Source organism: Homo sapiens, chromosome 6 (genome assembly GCF_000001405.40).
Source record: "Homo sapiens chromosome 6, GRCh38.p14 Primary Assembly".
Lineage (NCBI taxonomy): Eukaryota > Metazoa > Chordata > Mammalia > Primates > Hominidae > Homo > Homo sapiens.
Genome location: NC_000006.12, coordinates 63,846,564 through 63,872,654, shown reverse-complemented (window position 1 = coordinate 63,872,654; position 26,091 = coordinate 63,846,564). Strand labels below are relative to the sequence as shown.

At 38.2% G+C, this 26,091-nt stretch overlaps 1 protein-coding gene and 1 pseudogene across 2 annotated transcripts in view; one reads left to right on the top strand and one right to left on the bottom strand.

The window, feature by feature from the left end:
- EYS (eyes shut homolog) overlaps nucleotides 1–26,091 on the top strand; it is a 1,987,247-nt gene that overhangs the window by 1,834,572 nt on the left and 126,584 nt on the right. For both annotated transcript variants that reach the window (NM_001142800.2, NM_001292009.2), the window contains exon 36: nucleotides 8,297–8,469. In NM_001142800.2, the coding sequence (NP_001136272.1) occupies nucleotides 8,297–8,469 (173 nt within the window). The remainder of the gene's footprint in view (nucleotides 1–8,296; nucleotides 8,470–26,091) is intronic.
- On the bottom strand, nucleotides 14,885–15,337 carry GCNT1P4 (glucosaminyl (N-acetyl) transferase 1 pseudogene 4; annotated as a pseudogene).

Genomic DNA, 26,091 nt, shown 5'->3' with positions numbered 1-26,091 from the left:
ATACAAAAATTAGCCAGGCATGGCGGCATGTGCCTGTAATCCCAGCTACTTGAGAGGCTGAAGTAGGAGAATTGCTTGAACCCAGAAGGTGGAGGCTGCAGTGAACCGAATTCACACCACTGCACTCCAGCCTGGGTGACAAGAGCGAGACTAGGTCTAAAAAAAAAAAAAAAAAAACCATATTTAGGTATAGTGGATGTAGGAGCCATTCCTACCTCTAGGGCTGAGAAACAGTGCTCCAAGGAACAAATCAGAAGACACACATATACACTCACACACATACACACACACATGCACACTTACACACACATACCTACACACTTGTGCACACACACACACACACCACCTGGTATGCAGAGCACGATGGAGAGTGTGGCCATTGAGTGACAGAAAAGTTCACTGTGATACCCCAGTCCAAGACTGGGAAAGAAGAAGCCATATAATGGGGCGCTGCTGAAATGCACTGGGAAGCTACCCTCTGGGACTCTAGGGAGCTCACTGAGAAGCCACCACAAAGATGCTGCTGAACTTGCTAGAATTCCTGCCCACTGGGGCGTCTATGAAACTGTTTCAAGCCACTCACTATAAGGTCCAGGAAAACTTACTAGAAAGCCACACTTGAAGGTGCTGCTGAACTTGCTAAGAATTTGCCCACTGGGACACCTAGAAGCTGGAAAGTTGGGTGGGTCATGGGCTGTCTCCTGGTGGTAATTCTCCAGGGGAGGTGCTGTGGAACTTGCTGGGGGTGAGCAGCACTGAGTTTCCTGCGCGTGCCTCCAGCAGGAGTAAGAAGACAGGAAAGAACGGCAGAGCTAGGAAGAGAACCTCTTCTTCCTTCAGTGTCCCAAGTGCCCTCTACTGACAAAGCTTAACATCCCCCCAGTTGGCAAAGGGAATGTGTTTACAGGGTCCAGCTCCAGCATCACAAGGAAGGATTATAAAGGGTAGATTTGGAACTAACAAACAACACATTCTTTTTTTTTCTTTCTTTTTGAGATGGAGTCTCACTCTGTTGCCCAGGCTGGAGTGCAGTGGCATGATCTCGGCTCACTGAAACCTCCACCTCCTGGGTTCCAGTGATTCTCCCACCTCAGCCTCCTGAGTAGCTGGAATTACAGGCATGTGCCACCACACCCAGCTAATTGTTTGTATTTTTAGTAGAGATGGGGTTTCACCATGTTGGCCAGGATGGGATTGAACTCCTGACCTCAAGTGATCTGCCCACCTCAGCCTCCCAAAATGCTGAGATTATAGGCATGAGTCACCACGCCCAGCAGATGATAAATTAATAACGGGGAAAACTCTGTCCCTGGGTTTACTGTTCTCCAGACATTTTCCCCAGAATAATAATTCTAAAACATAATATAATTCATTCCCTCATCAAAAACGTTTCAATGTCTATTGCCAATAAGTTAAAGTGAAAATTCTTAAAAGGACCAAGGCCGCTTCTTGCATCTCAGCTCAGATCTACTTATACTCTATGCTTCAAATATATTGATAGGATTAAATTAAGTGAAATTCTAGCATTGGAAAGAAATACTTGTTATTGGGAATTGGGGTAAGAGGAAAAAAGGATGGAGAATAAGTGCTGGAAGAGATAATGTGGAAGTCAAGAGAGGTGCTGAAGGCTAAAATTTTATCTATAGAGTAGGAAGTGAAGTCACTTCCTCTGAGCAGAGATCACAGGACTGGGAAAGATCTGAACAACGATTGGGTAGAAGGAGAATTTGATATTTAATCAAATTTGATGAATTTTGATGAAGTGGTGAATTTTATATTGTCCCTTACAACTGTGCACCTAACTTCATCTCTAGGCTTCAGATTATAATCTAAATATACCACGGGGTTCAAGAGGTAGGCATTAAACATCTTGCCAGTTAGTAATCTCTGGTTTACATTGCTCAGTACACTGACTCTATATAAAGAGATTTGGGACAATTCCAAAAGTCACCTGCTTGCTCTAAGTGGCAGACACAAACTACTTTTAGAGCAAGCCTGCCAAATCAACATATTTAGAAGCAAGAACACCTCTAAATTTCTTGCTTTTTTTCCAACTCAAAATTGGAGTGTAAAGATTTGACAAAAGAAAGGCTGTGGAATAAGTGAGAAACTGCAAAAAAAATTAAATTCTCATTGCAAATTCAACATAGGAATACCCATAAAGGATACTTTGGGTTCATAAATGTATACCTTTCTAGAGAGTTGTTATCTACTATTCATTTTTAAGGAATAAATTTTCCACCCACAGCAATTTTGTAAATAATTCTTAATATCAGAAAAGAACAACCATCGACGTTGTGTGCTGTGTTTCTACCTTCCTGATAACTGGTGAATTCACCATGGTAACAGTTGAGTAGAAACTGTGTGTATGTGAACATTACTGAGGTCAGGGGAATGGGTGAAATGGCACTTTGCTGGCTTAAATATTTTAAGATAATTTTTTATGTCTTTTTAGTGGAAATTAAAATAACATTTTAAAAGCTCATACCAACTCTTCTAGCCTTAAATAGCTTCAAAATAGGCACATTATCTTTACAGGAAATTACCTGAGAGCTCCAGAGCTTCATAAGCACTGCATTTACAGATTCTGTTATATTGAATCCTGCCCAGATTGCCCTTACCATGCAGGGGGCTGGAGACTGGCTAATTTTACAGTGAGCACAGAGTGAGAAAAATTTATTATGAAATTGTAGTTTGGGCACAGAGTATAATTCTAAGATCCTGAGATTTTTTTTATGGGGGGAGGGTAATTCTAGACACTGAAATGATACATTCATTTGACAAACAATTATTAATGCATTATTTTATTTTTTCACCCACAATACCCTACACCTTATCCTTCTTTCCCAACCCACTTCTCTTTGTACCAGATTTCATCATATTTGTCTTATTCCACCATTAACTGATTCAGACACAACTAATTACATGTTTCATTTATTCTTACCTCCTTTTCCTAATATATAATGAGCAGCTGATCAATGCCAAGTACTGTGCTGGGCACATTCTCACACATACCTCATTTAATGTATTTAGATAATGGCCATGTTTACTATGTTAGCTCCCCTTTTGGGCTTCATGTTCTCCAAGTCTGCTCCCTTGGAAGCAAAACTTTAATTTCATTTCATAAGAACTAGAGGGTCACAAGGCCAGAGATATGGAAAAGATATCTCTTTCTGGAAAGGAGATCCTGATGCACTTGCTGGGGAAGAAATTTTGGTCATTTTTCTTTACCAATGAAGTTTATTTTTTTGTAAAGTGAACCATGCCTGTCAGAGAGAGAAAGAAAGAAGGAAGAGGGAAGAGAGAAGGCGAGAGATTATACCATATATTCCATTTTTCTTTGCAAAATGCCTACAAGATTAAATTGGACAGATACTAGAACAAGAAAAAAAGTGTTTTTAATTGTTTATGGATTTTCCATTTTATGTATTATTTATTCCTATGTCATTCTATGACTTTTATTTGCTCTTACCCTTTCTTATCTTGTTCCTGCCTTTAGAAAAACCCTTTCATATAAAGAAAAAAGTTTCTATAGCAGAGGACATTTTCCCTGAGCTCTCTGTTCATGGGTATATTATATAGACTATGTTTCTCCAAGTTCACTTTCTAGGCCACCACAAAGTAATTTTGGTTTTGCATTTTTTTCCCATTATTTTCATGCTTGGCTACTTTTAAAAAGTTATAAATGAAAAATGACACACGTAGTGGTGTGCCTTACAGCACAAAATAACATCCATTTAGGCAGTTCTGTCCTAGAAACAGACAAAGAAAAATCTATCTACAGTACTAGAGCCAGAGTCTCCACACACAGCTAACAACTCATTTGACAGAAATTCCAATTTTTTAAGGAAGATTCTTGCAGGGGAGAGGGGAAGTATTCTTTGTAATTAGCAGGCTCTTATCATGGTGTTGTGAAATTCATGAAAAAGATGGAAAGTTCTACTTGAACCACAGCTACTTGGGATCTCATTTGCATACCTCCTAAAGCCTGGGCTGTGGTGCTATCAGAGCCGATACATAGAGATGGGTTATTTCCGCCAGTAGCAATTTTATTTTTCAGAACTATCTGGAGACATTATTCATAAGGATTCATTTCTGCACTCTTTCCTGCTGAGAACCTCCCTCTCTTGACACTGTGGGTGGCCAACTTTGAAATCGGCTAATGATCTGTTAGATACAAAGAGTGCAAGAAGAGTTATTTATTTTTTTAAGTTAATACATGCAGGAGTCCTTTTAGTTCTAGAAGATTTTTGGCATCTAGCTGTGTTATATAAGTAGTGGGCACCCTTTTCAAGCCAGCTTCTTTGATTTTTTTTAATCAGCTAAATTTTTCTAAAGGTAACTTTTAATACTCATAGAAATGACAGTTAATATTCTTACCGTATTGTAGACTTGTAATCAAATATCCCGTAGCAGTTACAATTCCAAAATATATAGTTGTTGGCATATGCTTAGATAGGTGGTATTTTTTTAACTAAGCTTTAAAATGACCGAGTGAATTTTTTCCTCTTTTATGTTGAAGTTAAACATAATGCACATGCAGTAGACTGTATATGGCACTCCTAAAATGAAAACCTTCTCATCTTTGTACTTTGACGGATATATGTGTTTTCAGATATATGTTGGTCAAAAGTCAAAACATAGCCCAAAAACAGAAATAAAATTATAATATCCTGTAAGGACACAATAATAACTAATGCCCATCAAGCTTTCACTCTGGAGAGAATATTTGTCTCAGAGGGATGGGTTTAAGTAAAAGTAGGCTATGCAAAAGAGTCTCCTAATGACATTTTTTAAAGGCAGACTCTTGAGCCTTACTTTAGACATTCTAAATCAGAATCTCAGAGGGCAAGAGGAGCATGGAAATCTGCATTTAGCAAACGCATTCAGGAGAGTCCCTGGTAATCCTTTGGTGCCAGTTCACAGACCAGCTTTTAGTAACTACTGTCATCTGAATCCACATATTACAGAGCTAAGGCCTTAAAATACTTGATACTTTCTCTATTCCTTTGTCACATACTATGTATCTTACAGAGATTTGTTCGTGCCTTTATGATGTCTCCTACAAAGAATGCAAAAGCGAGTCTTATTCACCACTTGGCACATGGATCCATCCATGATGTAGGTGCACAACAAACTTTGGATGGCAGCAATTGCCAAAATAAATATGGTCCTCTGGTGTATAGGTAAAAACTTCACCATAATCTGGATTATTTCGCAGACCTACTTTTAATTCAGAAAAATCTCCTGACTTGCTTACAGGACAATTTCCAAAAAAAGGTTTCTATGTGGTTTACAGGTCTTGTGAAGGATAAAATTTTTAAAAATTTAGGGATGAAAAGATATATTCCATGAAAAAAATATATTTCATATAAATATATTCTCTCAAAGCTAATTATAATAAGCAGTGACTAATTCACAGCAATAATGTAATATTTAAAGTAAACTGAGCAAAAGAGGGTGACACTGTTTTGAAAACTATTTCCAAAAGTCAACTGTCTTACATAAGATCCATCAGTCTTAGAGCATTCCCTTTCTGGGTCAACACTGCCTTTTGCTACAAGATGTAGAGAGACATCAAAGTAGGTCAAGTGGCAGAGAAAACAGCAGGCTTGGTAGCTTTTGAAGAAGTTGTGATTTAATAACAGGATCTGACAAGATCTGGATAGGAGAAACCTTTGAGTCCAGGTATAACACAGACGATAGCAAAGATAGATTTAGAAAACAAAAACTACTGGTGAAATGTCTGACACTCCAAGAAGTCTTTTGGAACTTTGAGGTACAATTTGAAGTGCCATCATCTGGCAACATCTCAATTGAGTAAAGCTGACTCTTGCTAATGAGGTGCTAATGGGATATCAAGACAGGCCAGAAGACTCTGAACACTTGCCCTTGGTTAGATATGGTGAGCTTCCCTTTTCTTGGAGAGTTTTCTATAAAATTTCTAGTTCTCTCTCTACTCTAGTTGCCTGCTGACATACAGATGCACACAGTTAGTCGTCTCCGCATGAATTTACACAACCAACTTCTGACAACACCTGATGAAAGCAGAAAGAGGAAATGGGGCTTGATTTATCAATAGGACCTGATTAAAAATAGTGCTTTCCTTGGTTTTCACCATAAAATCATCTTTCCTGCATGCCAAATCTGTTTAGCTTTATATGATTAAAGCATTTAAATCAATCAATGCTTAGATTAGTTTGACTTTCACATATGAGGCATTCTCCTTGATCTGAAAAAGACTAATTTGGTCCTTCCAGAAGGCAGCTCTCAAGAATGCTACTTTCCTAGACTTTATCCCAGAATACAAATGCTTAATACTGACCTTTCAACTCCAAGTAAGGTCAGTGGAAGCAAAGTTATATCAGATTTATCCATTACCCCCAAACAACATTAAGTTTCTAACGTATACTTTAGGTCACACCAGAAATATTTCTGTACCTGCTAGGTGGTCCGGCTGTGCTTTTATCGCTATTCTCAGGAAACAAGGAACAGCATTAGCTAAGCAGTCCTCAAAACTTTATTTCTCGGAAACAGAAAATCTTGCTCAGGATACTTTATAACCATCTTAGGGGCATCGATATATAATTTTTTCCCAATTCTGAAAACTTATGAGATTCCATATCTGTCTGCAATGTGTAGAATGCTATGCAGGTTTCCATGAAGGTTATAAAATGCATAAATTACTGATTACTTACAGGATAAGCCTTATGAGTTGGCAAAATCTGAAGGTCTCAAAGCCTTACAACCCCACCAAAGCCAGCTTTATCTGCTATCTGATACATAAACTTTCATAGTGTTTCACAACATTATCATGGAGAATATTAAAATATGAATATTTTTAGAAAAGGAAACACCTTCATATTTCTAAGTCAGGTCTCATTATGATGAAAAAAATGGTTCTTTCCTACACACAAATTTTGGAGTAAGGGGATTCAAAGACATGAGGAAGGTATTGAGAAACCATACAGATAGCTGGGGAAAAATTCATGGTATGGGTAAGATCTACAACTAGACTGGGAGGCTGTGTCATAAAAACATAAAAATATGTTAGTTTCCCAATTATCAGGGCTGATCCTGGCACCTATGCTTAAGAGCTAACAGTCGCATTGAGAAGATAAGATGTAAACTCCTAAGATCTGTATATGGCAAGGTGTATGAACTAATGTAATAAGAGAGCAAAAAAAAAAAGAAAAGATTAAATGGAATTCTTTAACTTCAAGTGACAAAATCCCAAATCAAACTGGCTTTAAAAATGTAAAAGCAGTGGAATATATTGTCTCACATAACTACAGAGTACTGGCTAGATCTGGTACCCAGATAATCAATAATCTATATTTCTCTGTCACTTATATTTACATTGCTAAGTATTAGCTATTTATTCTCAGCTAGGCTCTTCCCTCTGGACAGGCACACGCCACCATCAATTACCAGTGTAGCAACACCAGCAGATAAAAAGAGTACTCTCTGGAGAGTTCTAGCAGAGGTTGGCCAGTTGGCCTAGCGTGTCATGTATCCACCCTGCACTATACACTATGATTGGCACCGAGTGGAGACTGTGTCTCCCAGACAACATGGGCTGAGAATGGTGGAGGGGTGGGTCTTGGAAAGGAAAACGAAGGCATCTGTTACTTTAAATGGGGCAATGGATGCAGAGAGGCAGAAATAACAAACTCCAAGTCACTTCTCCCTCTTGAGAATGCTTCCCTGGCAGGTAAGAGGAGTATTTTTCCTGAGCTCTGCTTTCATGCACACTCACAGCCTGGGGCCACCAAACCATATTTTAAGCTGAAGAGTTATATAGTCATTATAGCTCCCCACTGTGTCTTATTTTCAGAATTACTACAAATGCAGCTCTTGGAGGACTTTGTCCTCAGAGTGGGGAAGCTTATCACCAGCTTAAAATTCTCCTCTGAGCTTTGAGTCTAAGATGTTTTTTGCTAATAGACATTTGATGCACTTTATTAAGGCAGCACCACACATATTCAATGAAGCCCTGAAAAGGCACCCAGTGTGAAATAAAAGATGAGACAAATCAAAAATAAAAATAGATGGCTTAAAATAGAATTCATGGCTTCAGATAATCTATAAAGCTATTAATCTGCTTTCAGTGGAAAGCACACAGCTACAAATATTCAAAAGTTGAAACAGAAAAGAGGGAGAAAAAAGTCACTTATTAGAAAAGATGCAATTATAATTTTATTTGCATATGTGTTCATGCATGTGTATATATGTGTATGTGTGTAGAAAATATCAGTTGTTTCCTAATGAATTTTTAAATTTTTTCCCTTCTCAGTGATAATGAAAATCTGTTTTGTGAGTGTCCAAGGCTGTATTCAGGCAAGCTGTGCCAGTTTGCAAGTTGTGAAAACAACCCATGTGGAAATGGTGCCACCTGTGTTCCAAAATCCGGAACAGATATTGTCTGCCTCTGCCCATATGGGAGGTCTGGACCCCTCTGCACTGATGGTAAGAGCATTTGATTATTAAACATGGAGCACAGACAGAAAGAGGTGAAGAGGATAGAAATCACTCAGATGAATCAAGGATAGCACTTGACTGATCAAATACATCAAATCTTCTTCTGGGTTCTTTTCAAGTTAGTTGAGACAAGACCCATTAGTGAGACTGATCACCAAGCAGGTACTTCTCATACCCATCAAGTAATTAACAAAAGTGGTGGCTAGGTACAGTGGCTCACGCCTGTAATCCCAGCACTTTGGGACGCTGAGGCGGGTGGATCACGAGGTCAGAAATTCGAGACCCACCTGACCAACATGGTGAAACCCCGTCTCTACTAAAAATACAAAAATTAGCCGGGCATGGTGGCATGCGCCTATAATCCCAGCTACTCAGGAGGCTGAGGCTCGAGAATCGCTTGAACCCAGGAGGGTGAGGTTGCAGTGAGCCGAAATTGCACCACTGCACTCCAGCCTGGGCAGCAGAGAGAGACTCCATCTCAAAAAAAAAAAAAAAAAAGAAAAAAGAAAAGAAAAGAAAAGAAAAGAAAAGAAAAAGTGGTAATGAGTTTTCCCTGAGGTTAGAGTACAGAAAATCTATGTATTGTAAAATCTCAAAGTCTAGCTAGGTATAAGAGAGTAACAAGGGGCATCAAGAGCAATATATAAAATCAAATTATTTCATGTCATTTTGGCAAACCGAGAGTACAATATTAACAAATCTATGCATTACAGCCCAGTTGCTTTACAAAACCCATGATACAGTTATTACATATCAAGAAACTAAATCATAAACAATAGACATGCGTCTCTCTTTAGGAAAATTCAGTATGAGAAATCCTAAATTACAAAAAGCTGCAAGATGCTCTAATATAAGATTTTAAGAAAAAAATTGCCTAAGAATTTAATGTTAGCTGTGATATACATAAATGTGTGTAGATATTTTCAGAAATAATAAAAATTGGTATTAATAGTTAATCAACACAGGACTGGACTTGCTTTATCATTATTTTCACCATAAAAATAAAAAACATTTATTCCTTTGACACTTGTGATATTTGGCACCAAATTTTAGAATAAGGCTACCAAAGTGAACTCAGGGCCCTCTGCCCCAGAATCACAAAATGAAGCAAATACATCCAGCCTGTGATGACATGAAAAAGCTGGGCACCACATCCTGATGTGGCAGGTATGAAAACTGAAACGAGAGTAAAAGAAGCATTTGTAAATAAAAGGTATTGAAGTTTCGGATACATGGGTCTTTGAAAGGAATTGAGACAATGAATTTGTGTGTATCTGAAAGACAGAATGACTTAAGAGGGGAAGAGTTAAGAAGTACTAAGAATTTCATTCTGTGTGTGGCAGGGTTATATTACAAGAAGTTAGCCAAGTCATTTTTATAAAAAGAGAAAACATTATAGACTGAATAGAATTGAAGTTGTGTCCTTTCCCATAAAAATCTCATGCTTTTCAGATGTAATCATTCTATTTAGATAAAAGCTATTGAAAAAATATAATTGGTTATAATAAATTTGATTACTAAGAGATGAATCATCGGTTTTGCTTCCTACTTGAAAATAATACTGACCATATAAAATAAGAAGTAAAGATTTAGAAGAATGTCTTTGTGTATTCACACATACACAAAAAATGATTGTTTACTTCCCTCTCCTGGTCTCATTAGGGTTTCAAAGATGCAAGGATGTATAGATTATTGAGACAGGAAAAATTGACATTATTAGATTCTTTGCCTCAGTGTAAATTTTTTTTTTTAAAAAAAGATTCCTACATGCACCCATCCGGAAGAATTTCTCAAAATAATTATCCTATTCATTTATATTCCACAAAGTTGCCAGATCTAGTTTAGCAATGTAAAACTTGTCAAGAAAGATAAGACTTCTGACCTTACAGAGCTTACCTTCTAATTGAAAAGATAAAAAGAAAATAAAAATGGCTCAAAACACAATACAAAATTTCTGAGAAGAATTATGAAGGAAATAAACAAGTAGTGATAGACAGTAACTGGGATGGAGGGCATTTTAACAGGTCACCAAGACAAGAATCACTCTCAGAGGAGGAGATATTTGTACTGAGGCCTAAAGAATAAGGAGTATGGCCCATGAAAAGCAGGAAAAGGAACTATCCAGGTAGAAGGTTTGGAAATGGAAGACCCTGAGGAAAGATAGAAGCTGGGCTTTTTGGAGAATGAAAAGATACTGCTGTAGCTGGTGCATAAATGTCTTCATTCACTCCAGCTGCTGTAATGGAATACCATAGACTGGGTGACTTATAAACAACAGAAATGTATTTCTCACTGATCCGGAGGCTGGAAAGTTCAAGATCAAAGCACCAGTGAACTTGGTTCTGGTGAGGACTACTTCCTGGCTCATAGACAGCAGTCTCACTGTGTCCTCACATGGAAGGGACTAACTAGCTCCCTGGAGTTTCTTTTATAAGGGCACTAATCCCATTTATGAAACCTTTGCCCCATGATCTGATCACCTCTCAAAGACCCCATTTCCAAATACCATCACATTGGCAGTTAGGTTTTAACATGTGATTCTAGGGGGCACATAAACACTCAGTCTATAGCAATAGTGTACAAGAAGAAAAAATCTAATGTTAGCAGGGCCTAGATCATATAGGGCCTTGGGAACATGGAAAGATTTTTAACTTTTATTTCCAGATGCCTTAGGAAACCGTTGAAAGGCTTGAAAAGGGCTAGTGACTTTTGTGTATCTGTTTAAACTATTCTGATGGTATTATCTCTAACAGATTTTATAAGACTATTGGAGTGGTCCTGACAAAAGATAATTATGCCTAGGACAAGGGCAATGGCAGTGGGGATGTAGATAAGTGGACAAATTTTAAATCTCTTCTGGAGATATAATATTCAGAACTTGCTGGGAAGAGTGTGAAAAGGTTAGAACCAAGAACAACATCAGGTTTTCTTTGTCTGAACTATAGTGTAGATGGTGGTGCCATGAAAAAGAATAGAGGCATAACAGCTTCTTTTGTAGGAAACCGTTTATTATATTGGGAGGTAAACAAGAGTTTTATTTTGTACAAATGAAGAAAAAGATGCCAGTTAGACATCCAAAGGGAGATGATATGTAGACAATTGGATATATGATGCTGGTGCTCTGAAGCAAGATAAGGACTAAAGGTATAATCCAGGGGAATCATTAAAATAAAGGTGGTGTTTAAAACCACAGAATTGTAGATTGTCTAAGGAGAAAATATAGAAGAGAAATATAAAGAAGAGAAAGTGTAGATAAAGAAAAGAAGATTTTAAAAGAGCAGATAAATCCTAGAGAAACCTTCCACAATGCCAATATTTAGATATCTGGTAGAGGAGAGAAAGCCATATTAAATGCCAGTACCATACCCTGACAAACACTCCTCTCATCTCTCAGCCCATAGATGTTGCTCCTATTATGATGTGGCATTGTCTTAGTCTGGGACCTCCATAAAAATAGAACCTGGATAAGAATTGCATTCAGGTCGTTTACTTAGGAAATGATTCCAGGAAATAGGAGAGAAGATCTAGTGAGAATAAAATGGGGTAGGAGAGAAAGTCAGTGCAAAGGCGCACAGGGCATTGAACATCACTGTGGGCAACTTGTGCGTGATTTCACTCAGATCTTATGAGGAGCTATACAAAAAGTCTCACAATTGGCTGCCCAAGGGGCAAAAGAGAGAAATGTTTGACCATTGTCTCATGGTTCTTTTTGATTGAAGGTTTCCCTACAAGACATTAATATTCCCACACTTCTAGATTGCCATGCAAGACTGCTGAGAGTACAAGCTTTAGCAGGCATCTTAGGTGACAGCATCAGAAAAGCTGGAGGTTATAGAAAGAGAGCTTAACATATCAATATTCCATCACATATCAATATTCAATATTTTTGAGTCACAAAAAAATCCCCCTCGAGTGTTAGCTCCCTCCAGAAACCTTTTTTACATCAACAGGCATCAATACTTTCTATACCCCACCAACTAGTATGAGGTGATATCCCAAGCCATCTATTGGATCATTCACTGTTACTACTATGACCTCTAGAAGATTGTCTAGAATATACTTAATATATATTTATTTTATAAAGAAAGGCAAAAAGCAATCCAATAAGCCTAGCTGTTGTTCAATTACAACTACACTGTAGAAGAGGCACAGAATAACATCTGGGACTTTGCCTTTTTGCTAATACCAGAGGATGAAAAATCAGCTAGTTTTATTTCATCAGCAATTGTGTCTACTACATAGCACTTTTCTTCCAAATTATGTCCATATCTACCATCTTAATATGTTCTTTGGGGGACAATAGAAAATATAATTATCACATTTCCTACCTTGTTGATATTTCCACTGAGGAATTCATCCAGGGGTAATCGTGGCAGTGATGGCCGGAGCCGAGACAAACAAACACTGCAGATGGGAAGTTTGCAGCTGCTTTCCTTTTTAAACAGCTTTACTTTCCACATTTGTGCTCCTCATTCACACTTCCTGTTGCCTCTCCTTATGCAAGAATAATCTCTTCTTTTTTTTTTTTTTTTCTGGTGGCAGTAGCATTTATTAGAATGTTCTCTTAATGTATAAAGCCCAGCCCAGGTTTTTTTGTTTTCTTAATCACACCATTCTAAAGACAAAGGTGGAATGCGTTATCTCTTGCTCTCTTTTGTCCTTTCTATAAATATTTCATAATAATTTACCTTATCTTCCCAACTTAAGCCTCTCAATGGAACATGGTCCTTGAGGAAAGCAGTGTAACTACCTAAGAATAGGCTCCAGAATCAATCTGCCTGGGTTAAAATTTCCATTTTAGTACTGACTAGCCAGCTGAGTGACTTGGGCAAGTCACTTGGTCTCTCTGTACTTCAATTTCAATGAGTCTAATAATAGAACTTACCTTATAGGTTTTATGAGAATTAAATGAGATAATGCATGTAAAGTGCTTAACACATAATGGGCATATAGAAAATGCTTTTGTTTTTTAAGGGTGGTCAAAGTAGGATCCTTACCCTTACAGGAAACTGCTACCTCCTGTCATTGTGGGACAGAAGGCTGCATCTCCATCCCAGCTATTAAAAAAAAAAAAAAAAAAAAAAAAAAAAAAAAAAAACTCTCTAGGACATCAATGGAAATCAAAATTAATTTTCTTTTAAGAATTTTTCTAAGATGGTGACACTCTGCAGTGATTAAAGACAAGCCAAGGTATTACAAAATCAGGGAGGAAAGTAGAGCTCCAGGGACACGAATAATCACCAGGCTATTTAGGGACATGATACCTCTATAAAGCAGCTTAATGTCAGGCTGACATTTTGTAATGGCATATTTCAAGAACATGCAATTTTCTGTCATGTTAAGCTCATAACTCTTTTGATAGCATCCACTCTGATATGATCCAGCTTTCTCTCTCCAACTCAACAGCTGTTTGATTGCCCCACCGTTCAACACATCTTAGTATCCCTCATTTCCCACCATGTTTTAATCTTTATTTTCCAGTTCCTTGTTACAAAGAAATACTAAAAGGTCAAGCCTAATCCCAGACAGGAGCAAGGAGACAGGAATGAGAAAAAAAGTGCTCAAGAAAGTGATTCCTCTTTCTCTCTGTTGAAGGCAGACTTTGAATGGCCTGCACTTTTTATTCCATAAGAACTGAGGGAAGTTGCCTTTCCTCTTGCTCAGGGAAAAAGTGAGCACCTCCTGCCTTTCACTTTTTCCCTCTACTTCAGCATCTGTAGAGAGAAAAAGTTAGGTTGGCACATATTTAAAAGCAGCACTTATAAATGTGTATTTCAGTGTACACATTTCAGTTCTTAAAAAATAGCTTTGATGGGCCAGGCATGGTGGCTCACGCCTGTAATCCTAGTACTTTGGGAAGCCGCGGTGGGTGGATCACCTGAGGTCAGGAGTTCAAGACCAGCCTAGCCAAATAATTTACAGTAAAATCAAATTTCTATTTCAATACAACATATCAGATCAATTGTATCTTTATGGTTGTTTGTTGCTATAAATTTATTGATACCAGGAAAATTGTCACATTTAAAATTCTTAATAGTTTTGGCACAGGTGAAATCTTCTCGTTTTGCTAAGTCCCTGAGCTCTTTGAACAGGCTGACCTTATGCATCGGCCTCTTCCCCAGGCACCCTGGTCCCCTCTTTCCAGAATGCTACCTGCTCTGGCCTCAAGGCTACTTTTACTCCCCCTCACGTTAAATTTAGGTGAACATTTAATGCTATCACATATCTAGCCAATGGTGTTCTGCAGAAAACATGCAGCTTCTCTGACAAGAAAACTAAGAGTCCCCACCCCAAAGAGGACTTCATACCATTTTCCCGATGCTTGCTGACAAGGAAGAGGAACCAGATAAGGATATTTTTTGTGTATCCTCCTTATTATTCATAAAATTGCCTGTAATTGTCAGTGTTGTAATGTCTTCAAAGTTTTATGTCTCAGATGCTCATCAAAGCATTGGATGGCAAAAAGGTCAACATCCACATCAAACTTATTGGCAAACAAGTAGTGCTTGAGTAGCATCCAGTTCAAGTCTCCAGCTCCAGAAAATGCACACTGAGCACACGTGGACCCCATCACACGGTGGTCATGGAGCACCCTAGGAAACATACACTTAAAGTTCTACCACTTGACAGAGCTAGCAATTGCGTGCATGTCAGAGAAATAGTACTTATGGCTTTGAAGAGTAAGCCGGGCACTTCAGGGAATCCTCTGGACACTGGCCCAGAGATACTCATCTCATACAGATACAAATACTGTATTAGTGCACTCTTGATTGTACGTGGGTCACTAATGTACCCAGCTAAGTTTCCTATCCTCCCTTAGAGCTTAAAATGTGGCCATGGGACTAAATTCTGGAAAATCAGATGTAAGCAGAAGTGTTAGAGTATTATATTGACCTCTGGAAAATCTCTTGAAGAGTAGCATGACCTCCAAATCTTCCTTCTTTCTGAAGTCTAGAATGTCCATGAGATGTCTTGAATTCCAGAAGTCATCTCGGACTACGAAGTCACCTTGAGAATTAAAGATACATGCTAAGATGGTGAAGCAAAATGATGAAAGAAGTTTAAATCCTTAACTATAAAACCACCATACTAGCCTGGAAATGTTCAGTAAGAAACTTTCTGTTAATGACAGAAATAATTTATTTTGCTTAAACCTCTGCTTTTTAATAAGTTGTCTGTTATATGGAGCTAAATCTAATCGTGATATAAGTGTCAAGATTTCCCTGAACTACATATTTCAATATGTTTTATTAAGTGTATCTGATTTTGTTCATAAACTCTTAGACTCCTTCTCAAACAAAACCAGGATTTCTTGTATTATATTTATCTTATTTCAGTCTAATAGATTTGATAAATTATAAGTTTATAAAATACATTTTTGCAATCCAGTGAAACTGTGTTAAAATTTTTTAATCCAAAGAAATATCATGGGAAGCAGAAAAATATACAACCATATTTTTCTAAGTTAGCAAAATAATAAGAAAAGATATTTTATATATTTCTTTTGAACCATTACCTCTCATCTTAAAACTATTTCCATGAGGCAGTTTCTACTTACACTAAATGGAAACCAAATTAGTTTGCAGATTTTTACATCTCAATTCCTAGGGAGCTACACATCTGTTATTGTCCACTTTTACACAGAGAACAGACTATTCACTATCAAACTCTGACTGTTTGCCTCTGTCAGAACACTGACTGTCAGTAGAACACTAAACTCTCAAGGCCAAATGTTCTCCTTTCTGTTTATTCCAGCACTTTGTCATTATTTAGCAACCTCACAGAATTCTCCCTTCCGACAGAAGCATTTCCTGCTTTTTAAAAAGGTCTAAAATAGAGAGACTATATATTCACAGAAGGCAGAGTGGTCTCTCCTGAATATACTTATGGCAAATTGGTCTTGCAGACCATGTGTGGAAAGTAAACCTCTGTAGTTTATTCTCAAGCTCACCAGAGACTTTTACCTTGCAGGTCTGTCAGTCCAGGCCCTTTAGCAAAGAGTCATTGCTTCATATCAAATGAATACTGTCAGATCCCACCACACCTATCAGGCTCTGCTTGGTTGGTTTAAGAGCTATGTTAATGTGATGCACCTGCCAGTTAGCAAGCAACGGAAGGCACAAACACATTTGTGATACATAAAAAAAAAAAAAAAAAACTTCACTGAAACAAAAAATTAATTAGAGTCTGAGTAAATTTTTGCCACAGGAAAAACTGTGAAGTTATTTTGTTCAAGCTTTTGTTTATATTCAGTGACATGCTTATATTGTGTGTTTTCTAATATTTTGTCCCTTCATCCCTTTGACCTTGAAAGTGGCCTATTTTCCTTAGGATAAAGTAAGAACTGTTTAAAATGATGTGCAAGTTTTGCATGGGCAGACCTCAGCTAACCCAATAGCCCCCATCTTCTTCACCCTTTATCAGAACACTCTTTAAACTATTTTGCATTTACCTTGTAAACACTGGCCATAAATCATACCAGTCCTTTCCTCATACTCTAAGTTTCATGAAGGTAGACACCCTATCTGCCTCGGCCATCATCATATCTGCAGAGCAGTACATGGTGTCTGACACATGGTAGGTTCTGAAATTTTTTTCTGAGTTAAAAATAATTTAAAAGTCCTTCAGAATATTCAGCTATGTATGCTGTTGCCCTGAGCCTACTACTACACCTATACTTAGGAGATAATCATAAGTATTTGTGAAATTTTAAAAAGTATCTTAATAATATAATCAGTGAGTGAATAGTCTAATCTGAAATATTTCCAGAAGTATTTTTCACAGTACACTAGTGCGATAAGATACCCATAAGCTAGGCATTGGACTAAGTGCTTTACATTCATCTTCTTATATAATCTGTGTAATAACCCAAGGAGATACATCATTATTGCCATTGTACAGATGGAAAAACTGAAGTTCAGTGAGTTTAAATAACCAGTCTAAAGTGATATTGTTCATGAGTGGCAGACCCAGATCTGGAATCTCTGACTTGTCTTTCTTTAGATCACTACACAGTACTCTATTGCCCTTTCAGGAATTCACCATGTGCGGTAGCACAGTAAAAACTCTAAGAATTCCTGCAATAACAGCATTAAACCAAGGAATTCTTCTTTCTCACATGACAAGGCTTTCAAAGAGTATACCAGTCTAATGGTTCCCAGAGTGGAGTATACAGACTCCATTGTGATATTGGAAGAAAATATTAATTCTCTTTTTATCTCGATCCTTTAATTTCTATTTTTTGTGGGTTTCATGAGGTCTACATTATATGAGAAGATGTATAGAATTTTAAGTAAATAATGTCTGTGAAGCAAGATTAAACAAGCTTGGAGACCACTAATCTAGACAATTATCTTCCAAACATAATTTGAGATTTTTATTCCTTCTATTGATTTCATGGGACTGATTTCAAGTAACTGATTTCAAATTATGGTTAAATTATGCTTAAACTGCTTGGGATTTAGCATATATTATATACATAATTTATTATATAATTTCAACTAGCTGTGATTGATGGAGGAAACAATGAAGTGGCTTTTTTATTGTAATTATTATTATACTTTAAGTTCTGGGATACATGTGCAGAACATGCAGGTTTGTTACATAGGTATACATGTGCCATGGTGGTTTGCTGCACCCATTAACCTGTCATCTAGGTTTTAAGCCCCACTTGCATTAGGTATTTGTGCTAATCCTATGCCTCCCCTTGCCACCCACCCCCTGATAGGCCTCGGTGTGTAATGTTCCCCTCCCTGTGTCCATGTGTTCTCATTGTTAACTCCCAATTATAAGTGAGAACATGTGGAGTTTGGTTTTCTGTTCCTGTGTTAGTTTGCTGAGAATGATGGTTTCCAGCTTCATCCATGTCCCTACAAAGGACATGAACTCATTCTTTTTTATGGCTACATAGTATTCCATGGTATATATGTGCCACGTTTTCTTTATCCAGTCTAACATTGATGGGCATTTGGTTTGGTTCCAAGTCTTTGCTATTGTGAATAGTGCTGCAATGAACATAGGTATGCATGTGTCTTTATAGTAGAATGATTTATAATCCTTTGGGTATATACCCAGTAATAGGATTGCTGGGTCAAGTGGTATTTCTAGTTCTAGATCCTTGAGGAATCACCACACTGTCTTCCACAAGGTTAAACTAATTTACACTCCCACCAACAGTGTAAAAGCATTCCTATTTCTCTAAATCCTCTCCAGCAACTGTTGTTTCAGTTTCAGTTTTCTGCATATGACTAGCCAGTTTTCCCAGCACCATTTACTAAATAAGGAATCCTTTCCCCATTGCTTGTTTTTGTCAGGTTTGTCAAAGATCAGATGGTTATACATCTGTGGTGTAATATCTGAGGCCTCTGTTCTGTTCCATTGGCCTACATATCTGTTTTGGTACCAGTACCATGCTGTTTTGGTTACTGTAAACTTGTAGTATAGTTTGAAGTCAGGTAGTGTGATGCCTCCAGCTTTGTTCTTTTTGCTTAGGATTGTCTTGGGTATATGAGCTCTTTTTTGGTTCCATATGAAATTTAAAGTAGGTTTTTCTAATTCTGTGAAGAAAGTCAATGGTAGCTTGATAGGAATAGCATTGAATTTATAAATTACTTTGGGCAGTATGGCCATTTGCACGACATTGATTCTTCCTATCTATGAGCATGGAATGTTTTTCCATTTGTCTGTGTCCTCTCTTATTTCCTTGAAGAGTGGTTTGTAGTTCTCCTTGAAGTGGTCTTTCTCATCCTTTGTCAGTTATATTCCTAGGTATTTCATTCTCTTTGTAGCAATTGTGAATGGCAATTCACTCATGATTTGGCTCTATGTGTGTCTATTATTGACGTATAGGAATTCTTGTGATTTTTGCATATTGATTTTGTGTTCTGAGACTTTGCTGAAGTTGCTTATCAGCCTAAGGAGATTTTGGACTGAGACGATGGGGTTTTCTAAATATACAATCATGTCATCTGCAAACAGAGACAATTTGACTTCCTCTCTTCTTATTTGAACACCCATTATTTCTTTCTCTTGCCTTATTGCCCTGGCCAGAGCTTCCAATACTATGTTGAATAGGAGTGGTGAGAGAGGGCATCCTTGTCTTATGCCAGTTTTCAAAGGGAATGCTTCCAGCTTTTGCCCATTCAGTATACATTGAATATGGGTTTGTCATAAATAGCTCTTATTATTTTGAGATATGTTCCATCAATACCTAGTTTATTGAGTGTTTTTAGCATGAAGGGGTGTTGAATTTTATCAAAGGCCTTTTCTGCATCTGTAGGGATAATCATGTGGTTTTTTGTTATTGGTTCTGTTTATGTGATGGATTACATTTATTGATTTGCATATGTAGAACCACCCTTGCATCCCAGGGATGAAGTCGACTTGATCGTGGTAGATAAGCTTTTTGATGTGCTACTGGATTCAGTTAGCTAGTATTTTATTAAGGATTTTTGGATTGATGTTCATCAGGGATACTGGCCTGAAATTTTCTTTTTTTGTTGTGTCTCTGCCAGGTTTTGGTATCAGGATGATGCTAGCCTCATAAAATGTGTTAGGGAGGAGACCCTCTTCTTCTATTGTTTAGAATAGTTTCAGAAGGAATGGTACCAACTCCTCTTTGTACCTCTGGTAGAATTCAGCTGTGAATTCATCTGGTCCTGGGCTTTTTTTGGTTGGTAGGCTATTAATTATGGTCTCAATTTCAGAACTTGTTATTGGTCTATTCAGGGATTTGATTTCTTCCTGGTTTAGACTTGGGAGTGTCTGTGTGTGTCCAGGAATTTATCAATTTCTTAAAGATTTTCTAGTTTATTTGCATAGAGGTGTTCATAGTATTACCTGATGGTAGTTTATATTTCTGTGGGATCAGTGGTGATCTCCCCTTTCTCATTTTTTATTGTGTATATTTGATTCTTCTCCCTTTTCTTATTAGTCTGGCTAGGGTTCTATTTTGTTAATATTTTCAAAAAACCAGCTCCTCAATTCATTGATTTTTTTTTTTTTTTTTTTTTTTTTTTGAGACAGAGTCTCGCTCTGTCGCCCAGGCTGGAGTGCAGTGGCGGGATCTCGGCTCACTGCAAGCTCCGCCTCCCGGGTTCACGCCATTCTCCTGCCTCAGCCTCCCAAGTAGCTGGGACTACAGGTGCCCGCCACTACGCCTGGCTAATTTTTTGTATTTTTAGTAGAGACGGGGTTTCACCGTTTTAGCCGGGATGGTCTCGATCTCCTGACCTCGTGATCTGCCCGCCTCGGCCTCCCAAAGTGCTGGGATTACAGGCATGAGCCACTGCGCCCGGCCAATTCATTGATTTTTTAAGGGTTTTTTGTGTCTCTATCTCCTTCAGTTCTGCTCTGATCTTAGTTATTTCTTGTCTTCTGCTAGCTTTTGAATTTGTTTGCTGTTGCTTCTCTAGTTCTTTAAATTGTGATGTTGGGTGTCAGTTTTAGAGCCTTCCCACTTTCTGATGTGGGCACTTAATGCTATAAATTTCCCTCTAAACACTGCTTTGGCTGTGTCCCAAAGTTCTGATATGTTGTGTCTTTGTTCTCATTAGTTTCAAATAACTTATTTATTTCTGCCTTAATTTCTTTATTTACCCAGTAGTCATTCAGGAGCAGGTTGTTCATTTTCCATGTAATTGTGCAGTTCTGAGTGAGTTTCTTAATCCTGAGTTCTAATTTAAATGCACTGTGGTCTGAGAGACTGTTTGTTATGATTTCCATTCTTCTGCAGTTGCTGAGGGGTGCTTTACTTCCAATTATGTGTCAATTTTAGAATAAGTGTGATGTGGTGCTGAGAAGAATGTATATTCTATTGATTTGGGGTGGAGAGTTCTGTAGATGTCTATTAGGTCCACTTGGTCCAGAGCTGAGTTCACATCCTGAATATTCTTGTTAATTTTCTCTCTATTGACTTGTCCAATATTGCCAGTGGGGTGTTACAGTCTCCCACTATTATTGTGTGCGAATCTAAGTCTCTTTGTAGGTCTCTAAGAACTTGCTTTATGAATCTGGATGATCCTGTATTGGGTGCGTATATATTTAGAATAGTTAGCTCTTCTTGTTGCATGAATCCCCTTACATTATGTAATGCCCTTCTTTGTCTCTCTTGATCTTTGTTGGTTTAAAGTCTGTTTTATCAGAGACTAGGATTGCAACCCCTGCTTCTTTTTGCTTTCCATTTGCTTGGTAAATATTCCTCCATCCCTTTATTTTGAGCCTATGTGTGTCTTTGCATGTGAGATGGGTCTCCTGAATACAACACACCAAGGGGTCTTGACTCTTTATCCAATTTGCCAGTCTGTGTCTTTTAATTGGGGCATTTAGCCCATTTACATGTAAGGTTAATATTGTTATGTGTGAATTTGATCTTGTCATTATGATGATAGCTGGTTATTTTGCACATTGTTTGGTCAGTTTCTTCATAATGCTCTTGTTCTTTATATTTTCGTATGTTCTTGCAGTGGCTGGTACCGGTTTTTCTTTTTCATATTTAGTGCTTCCTTTAGGAGCTCTTGTAAGGCTGACCTGGTGGTCACAAAATCCCTCAACATTTGCTTGTCTGTAAAGGAATTTATTTCTCCTTCGCTTATGAAGCTTAGTTTGACTGGATATGAAATTCTGGGTTGAAAATTCATTTAAGAATGTTGAATATTGGCACCCGCTTTCTTCTGGCTTGTAGGGTTTCTGCAGAGACATCCACTGTTAGTCTGATGGGCTTCCCTTTGTGGGTAACCCAATCTTTCTCTCTGACTGCCCTTAACATTTTTTTTCCTTCATTTCAATCTTGGTGAATCTGATGATTATATGTCTTGGTGTTGCTCTTCTCAATGACTATCTTATTGGTGTTCTCTGTATTTCCTGAATTTGAATGTTGGCCTGTCTTGCTAGATTGGGGAAGTTCTCCTGGATAATATCCTGAAGTGTGTTTTCCAACTTGGTTCCATTCTTTCTGTCACTTTCAGATACACCAATCAATCATAGGTTTGGTCTTTTCCCATTGTCTCATATTTCTTGGAGGCTCTGTTTGTTCCTTTTCATTCTTTTTTCTCTAATCTTGTTTTCATGCTTTATTTCATTAAGTTAATCTTCAATCTCTGATATCCTTTCTTCCACTTGATCAATTCAGCTATGGATACTTGTGTATGCTTCATGAAGTTCTTGTGCTGTGTTTTTCAGCTCCATCAGATCATTTATGTTCTTCTCTAAACTAGTTATTCTAGTTAGCAATTCCTCTAACCATTTATCAAGGTTCTTAGCTTCCTTGCATTGGTTAGAACATGCTCCTTTAGCTCAGACGAGTTTGTTATTACCCACCCTCTAAAGCCTACTCCTGTCCATTTGTGTAACTCATTCTCCATCCAGTTTTGTTCCCTTGCTGACAAGGTGTCTTGATCCTTTGGAGGAGAAGAGGCATTCTGGTTTTTGGAATTTTCAGCATTTTTGCACTGGTTTTTCCTCATCTTTGTGGGTTTATCTACCTTTGATCTTTGATGCTATTGACCTTTGGATGGGGTTTTTATGTGGGTGTCCTTTTTGTTGATGTTGATGTTCTTGCTTTCTGTTTGTTAGTTTTCCTTCTAACAGTCAGGCCCCTCTTCTGCAGGTCTGCTGCGGTTTGCTGGAGGTCCACTCCTGACACTGTTTGCATGGGTATCACCAGTGGAGTCTGCAGAATAGTAAAGCTTCTTCCAGATGCTTCATCCCAGAGGGGCACCAGACAGATGCCAGCCAGTGCTCTCCTGTATGAGGTGTCTTTCAACCACTGCTGGGAGGTATCTCCCAGTCAGGACCCACGAGGTTCAGGGACCCATTTGAGGAGGTAGTCTGTCCCTTAGCAAAGCTTGAGCACTGTGCTGGGAGATCTGCTGCTCTCTTCAGAGCCAGCAGGCAGGAACCTTTAAGTATGCTGAAGCTGGGCCCACAGCCACCCCTCTCCCCAGGTGCTCTGTCCCAGGGAGATGGGAGTTTTATCTGTAAGCCTCTGACTGGGGCTGCTGCCTTTCTTTCAAAGATGCCCTGCCCAGAGAGGAGGAATCTAGAGAGGCAGTCTGGCTACAGTGGCTTTGTGGTGCTGTGGTGGGCTCCGCCTAGTCTGAACTTCCCAATGGCTTTGTTTACACTGTGAGGGGAAAACCGCCTACTCAAGCTTCAGTAATGGTGAACAACCCTCCTCCTCCGACGAAGCTCAAGCATCCCAGGTTGACTTCAGACTGCTGTGCTGGCAGCAAGAATTTCAAGCCAGTGGATCTTAGCTTGCTGGGCTCCATGGAGGTGGGATCCGCTGAGCAAGACCACTTGGCTGCCTGGCTTCAGCCCCCTTTCCAGAGGAGTGAACAGTTCTGTCTCGCTGGGGTTCCAGGTGCCACTGGGGTATGAAAACTAACTCCTGCATCTAGATCAGTGTCTGCCCAAACAGCTGCCCAGTTTTGTGCTTGGAACCCAGGGCCCTGGTGATGTAGGCACCTGAGAGAATCTCCTGGTCTGAGGGTTGTGAAGACCATGGGAAAAGCATAGTATCTGGGCCAGATAGCACCATCCCTCGTGACACAGCCCCTCACAGCTTCCTGTGGCTAGGGGATGGAGTTCCCAGCCCCTTGCACTTCCTGGGTGAGGGGCACCCCACCCTGCTTCTGCTTGCCCTCCGTGGACTGCACCCACTGTCTAACCAGTCCCAATGAGATGAACTGGGTACCTCAGTTGGAAGTGCAGAAATATCACCCGCCTTCTCCGTTGGTCTTGCTGGGAGCTGCAGACCAGAGCTGTTCCTATTTGGCCATCTTGCCAATCCCCAAAGTGGCATATTTAAAACCTGCTTATTTTTAGTTTTTAAAACTATCCACAGACCCCAATACAATTAAGTTTACTTAAATTCTCTAAGCTCATACTAACAGAGATGTGGAAAAGATTAAACATTGTGAAAATACAATGTTTAAGACTATGGATGCAGAAGAGTGACTAAAACTTCAGCTAATACAGCAATCTCATCGTAAAAAGTCAAGGATTAAACATGCATGTATGTTTTACGGGCATTTTATGGAAATGTATTCATTTATGGTGGGCATTCTCAAACAGTAAGAACAAAATAAGGTCATTTCAGCCTAAACCAAGCAGAAACCACTTTTACTCCCTTCTCTGTGCTGTAATTTAATAAAAATAAAAAATGCTTCAAATTGCATTATGTATATATCACTCGGTTTGTTTTGATTTTCCCAATGAGTCAAATGACTTGACCCTTGCTTTATTATTTCTCCTTTTACCAAATGATGGCTTTTCAACATTTTAAGTACATTGAAAAGTATTCAACATTTGACAAAGAGCCACAAAATCATTTAATATGAATCTTCACTCATAAAATTGGGTATGTACAAATATAGACACTAAGTTATTTCTCATATATTTTGATAAGATCAACTAAACTTGAATAGACTGAAACTTTTAGAGGCATCATCATGTAATTGGAAAATTCCAAAGTAGAGAGCTTCATTGATTTTGTCAACTCAGGCAAAAAACAATTTCTTAAAGAAAAACATTAGTCTGGCAACAGAGTATTTTTAGAAAGACTCCCAGTTATTGTAGAATTGCCCAGTCAAAATAATTTAACTGGGTAATTCCAATAATCTCTTGGCTTATGTATATTATTAGTGACTTTACCACTGGCTTCTCAGATGTCTATCATTATGCATTTCTAAGACAAAAATTAATTTGGAAAAAGAGAGAAAGGGAGAGCAAACAGAGGGGATGGCAAGGAGGAGAGAAAAGAGAAAAAGGGAGAGGAAGGAAGAGGAGAGGGAGAGAGGGAAAGTATTTCTGAAAATTAATTATAGCTTGCAACCAAATTCTGACTTCATGTGTACCTACATTGCATTAAGATTATCCAGTGTATCCAAAATCTACATGTTTTCCCACAATGTTGAGTGTTCCACACGCCTTCCTTTGTTTAACTGAAAAACAAAATATAAGTCCAAAGGTAAGGATAAGTGGTCTTATATAATCAAGTCACAATCCCAATTTTGCTGTAATGGTGATATTGTAAAATCTGAATCTGAACATGAACTTCAAAAGGGAGTTATAAATACCCAATATCAGAAATATAACTCATGTCTCAAAACATATGAATTATTTAATGTTATCCATGTTTCCTGAAGGGCTATGTGAGTCTTTATTTTCCTAGGGAGAGATTGTTACAGGTATTCCTAAAAACCAGGCTTCACATTTATTTCTAGAATTAAAAAAAATAAATTTTAGAATTTAAATTTTTAAAAAGTTTGAAAAGCAAACAAGAATAGCTTGCAAAAGCTCATGTATTAATATATTTTAAATTTTTTTTATTGACCCCAAAGACAGACAAATGTAGGTCTATTTGTAGTTCTCTTGTTCTAATAAGATAGTGTGTGGGTCCTGAGTAAGGGATTTTTGCCAGCAGTGAATTAACTCTTTTCTGTCTCTGCCATCAGTCAGTCACTATAGAGCCTAACTGGTGTGTGAGTAGATTATAAAGTTAACACAGCTCTTTGAAAGTAAGCATTTTACTGCCCATTTTGATTTGTATTCTTGATTAAACACCTGGCAGGGAACATCCAATCTTTTCCAGAGGATAAATCTGAATAT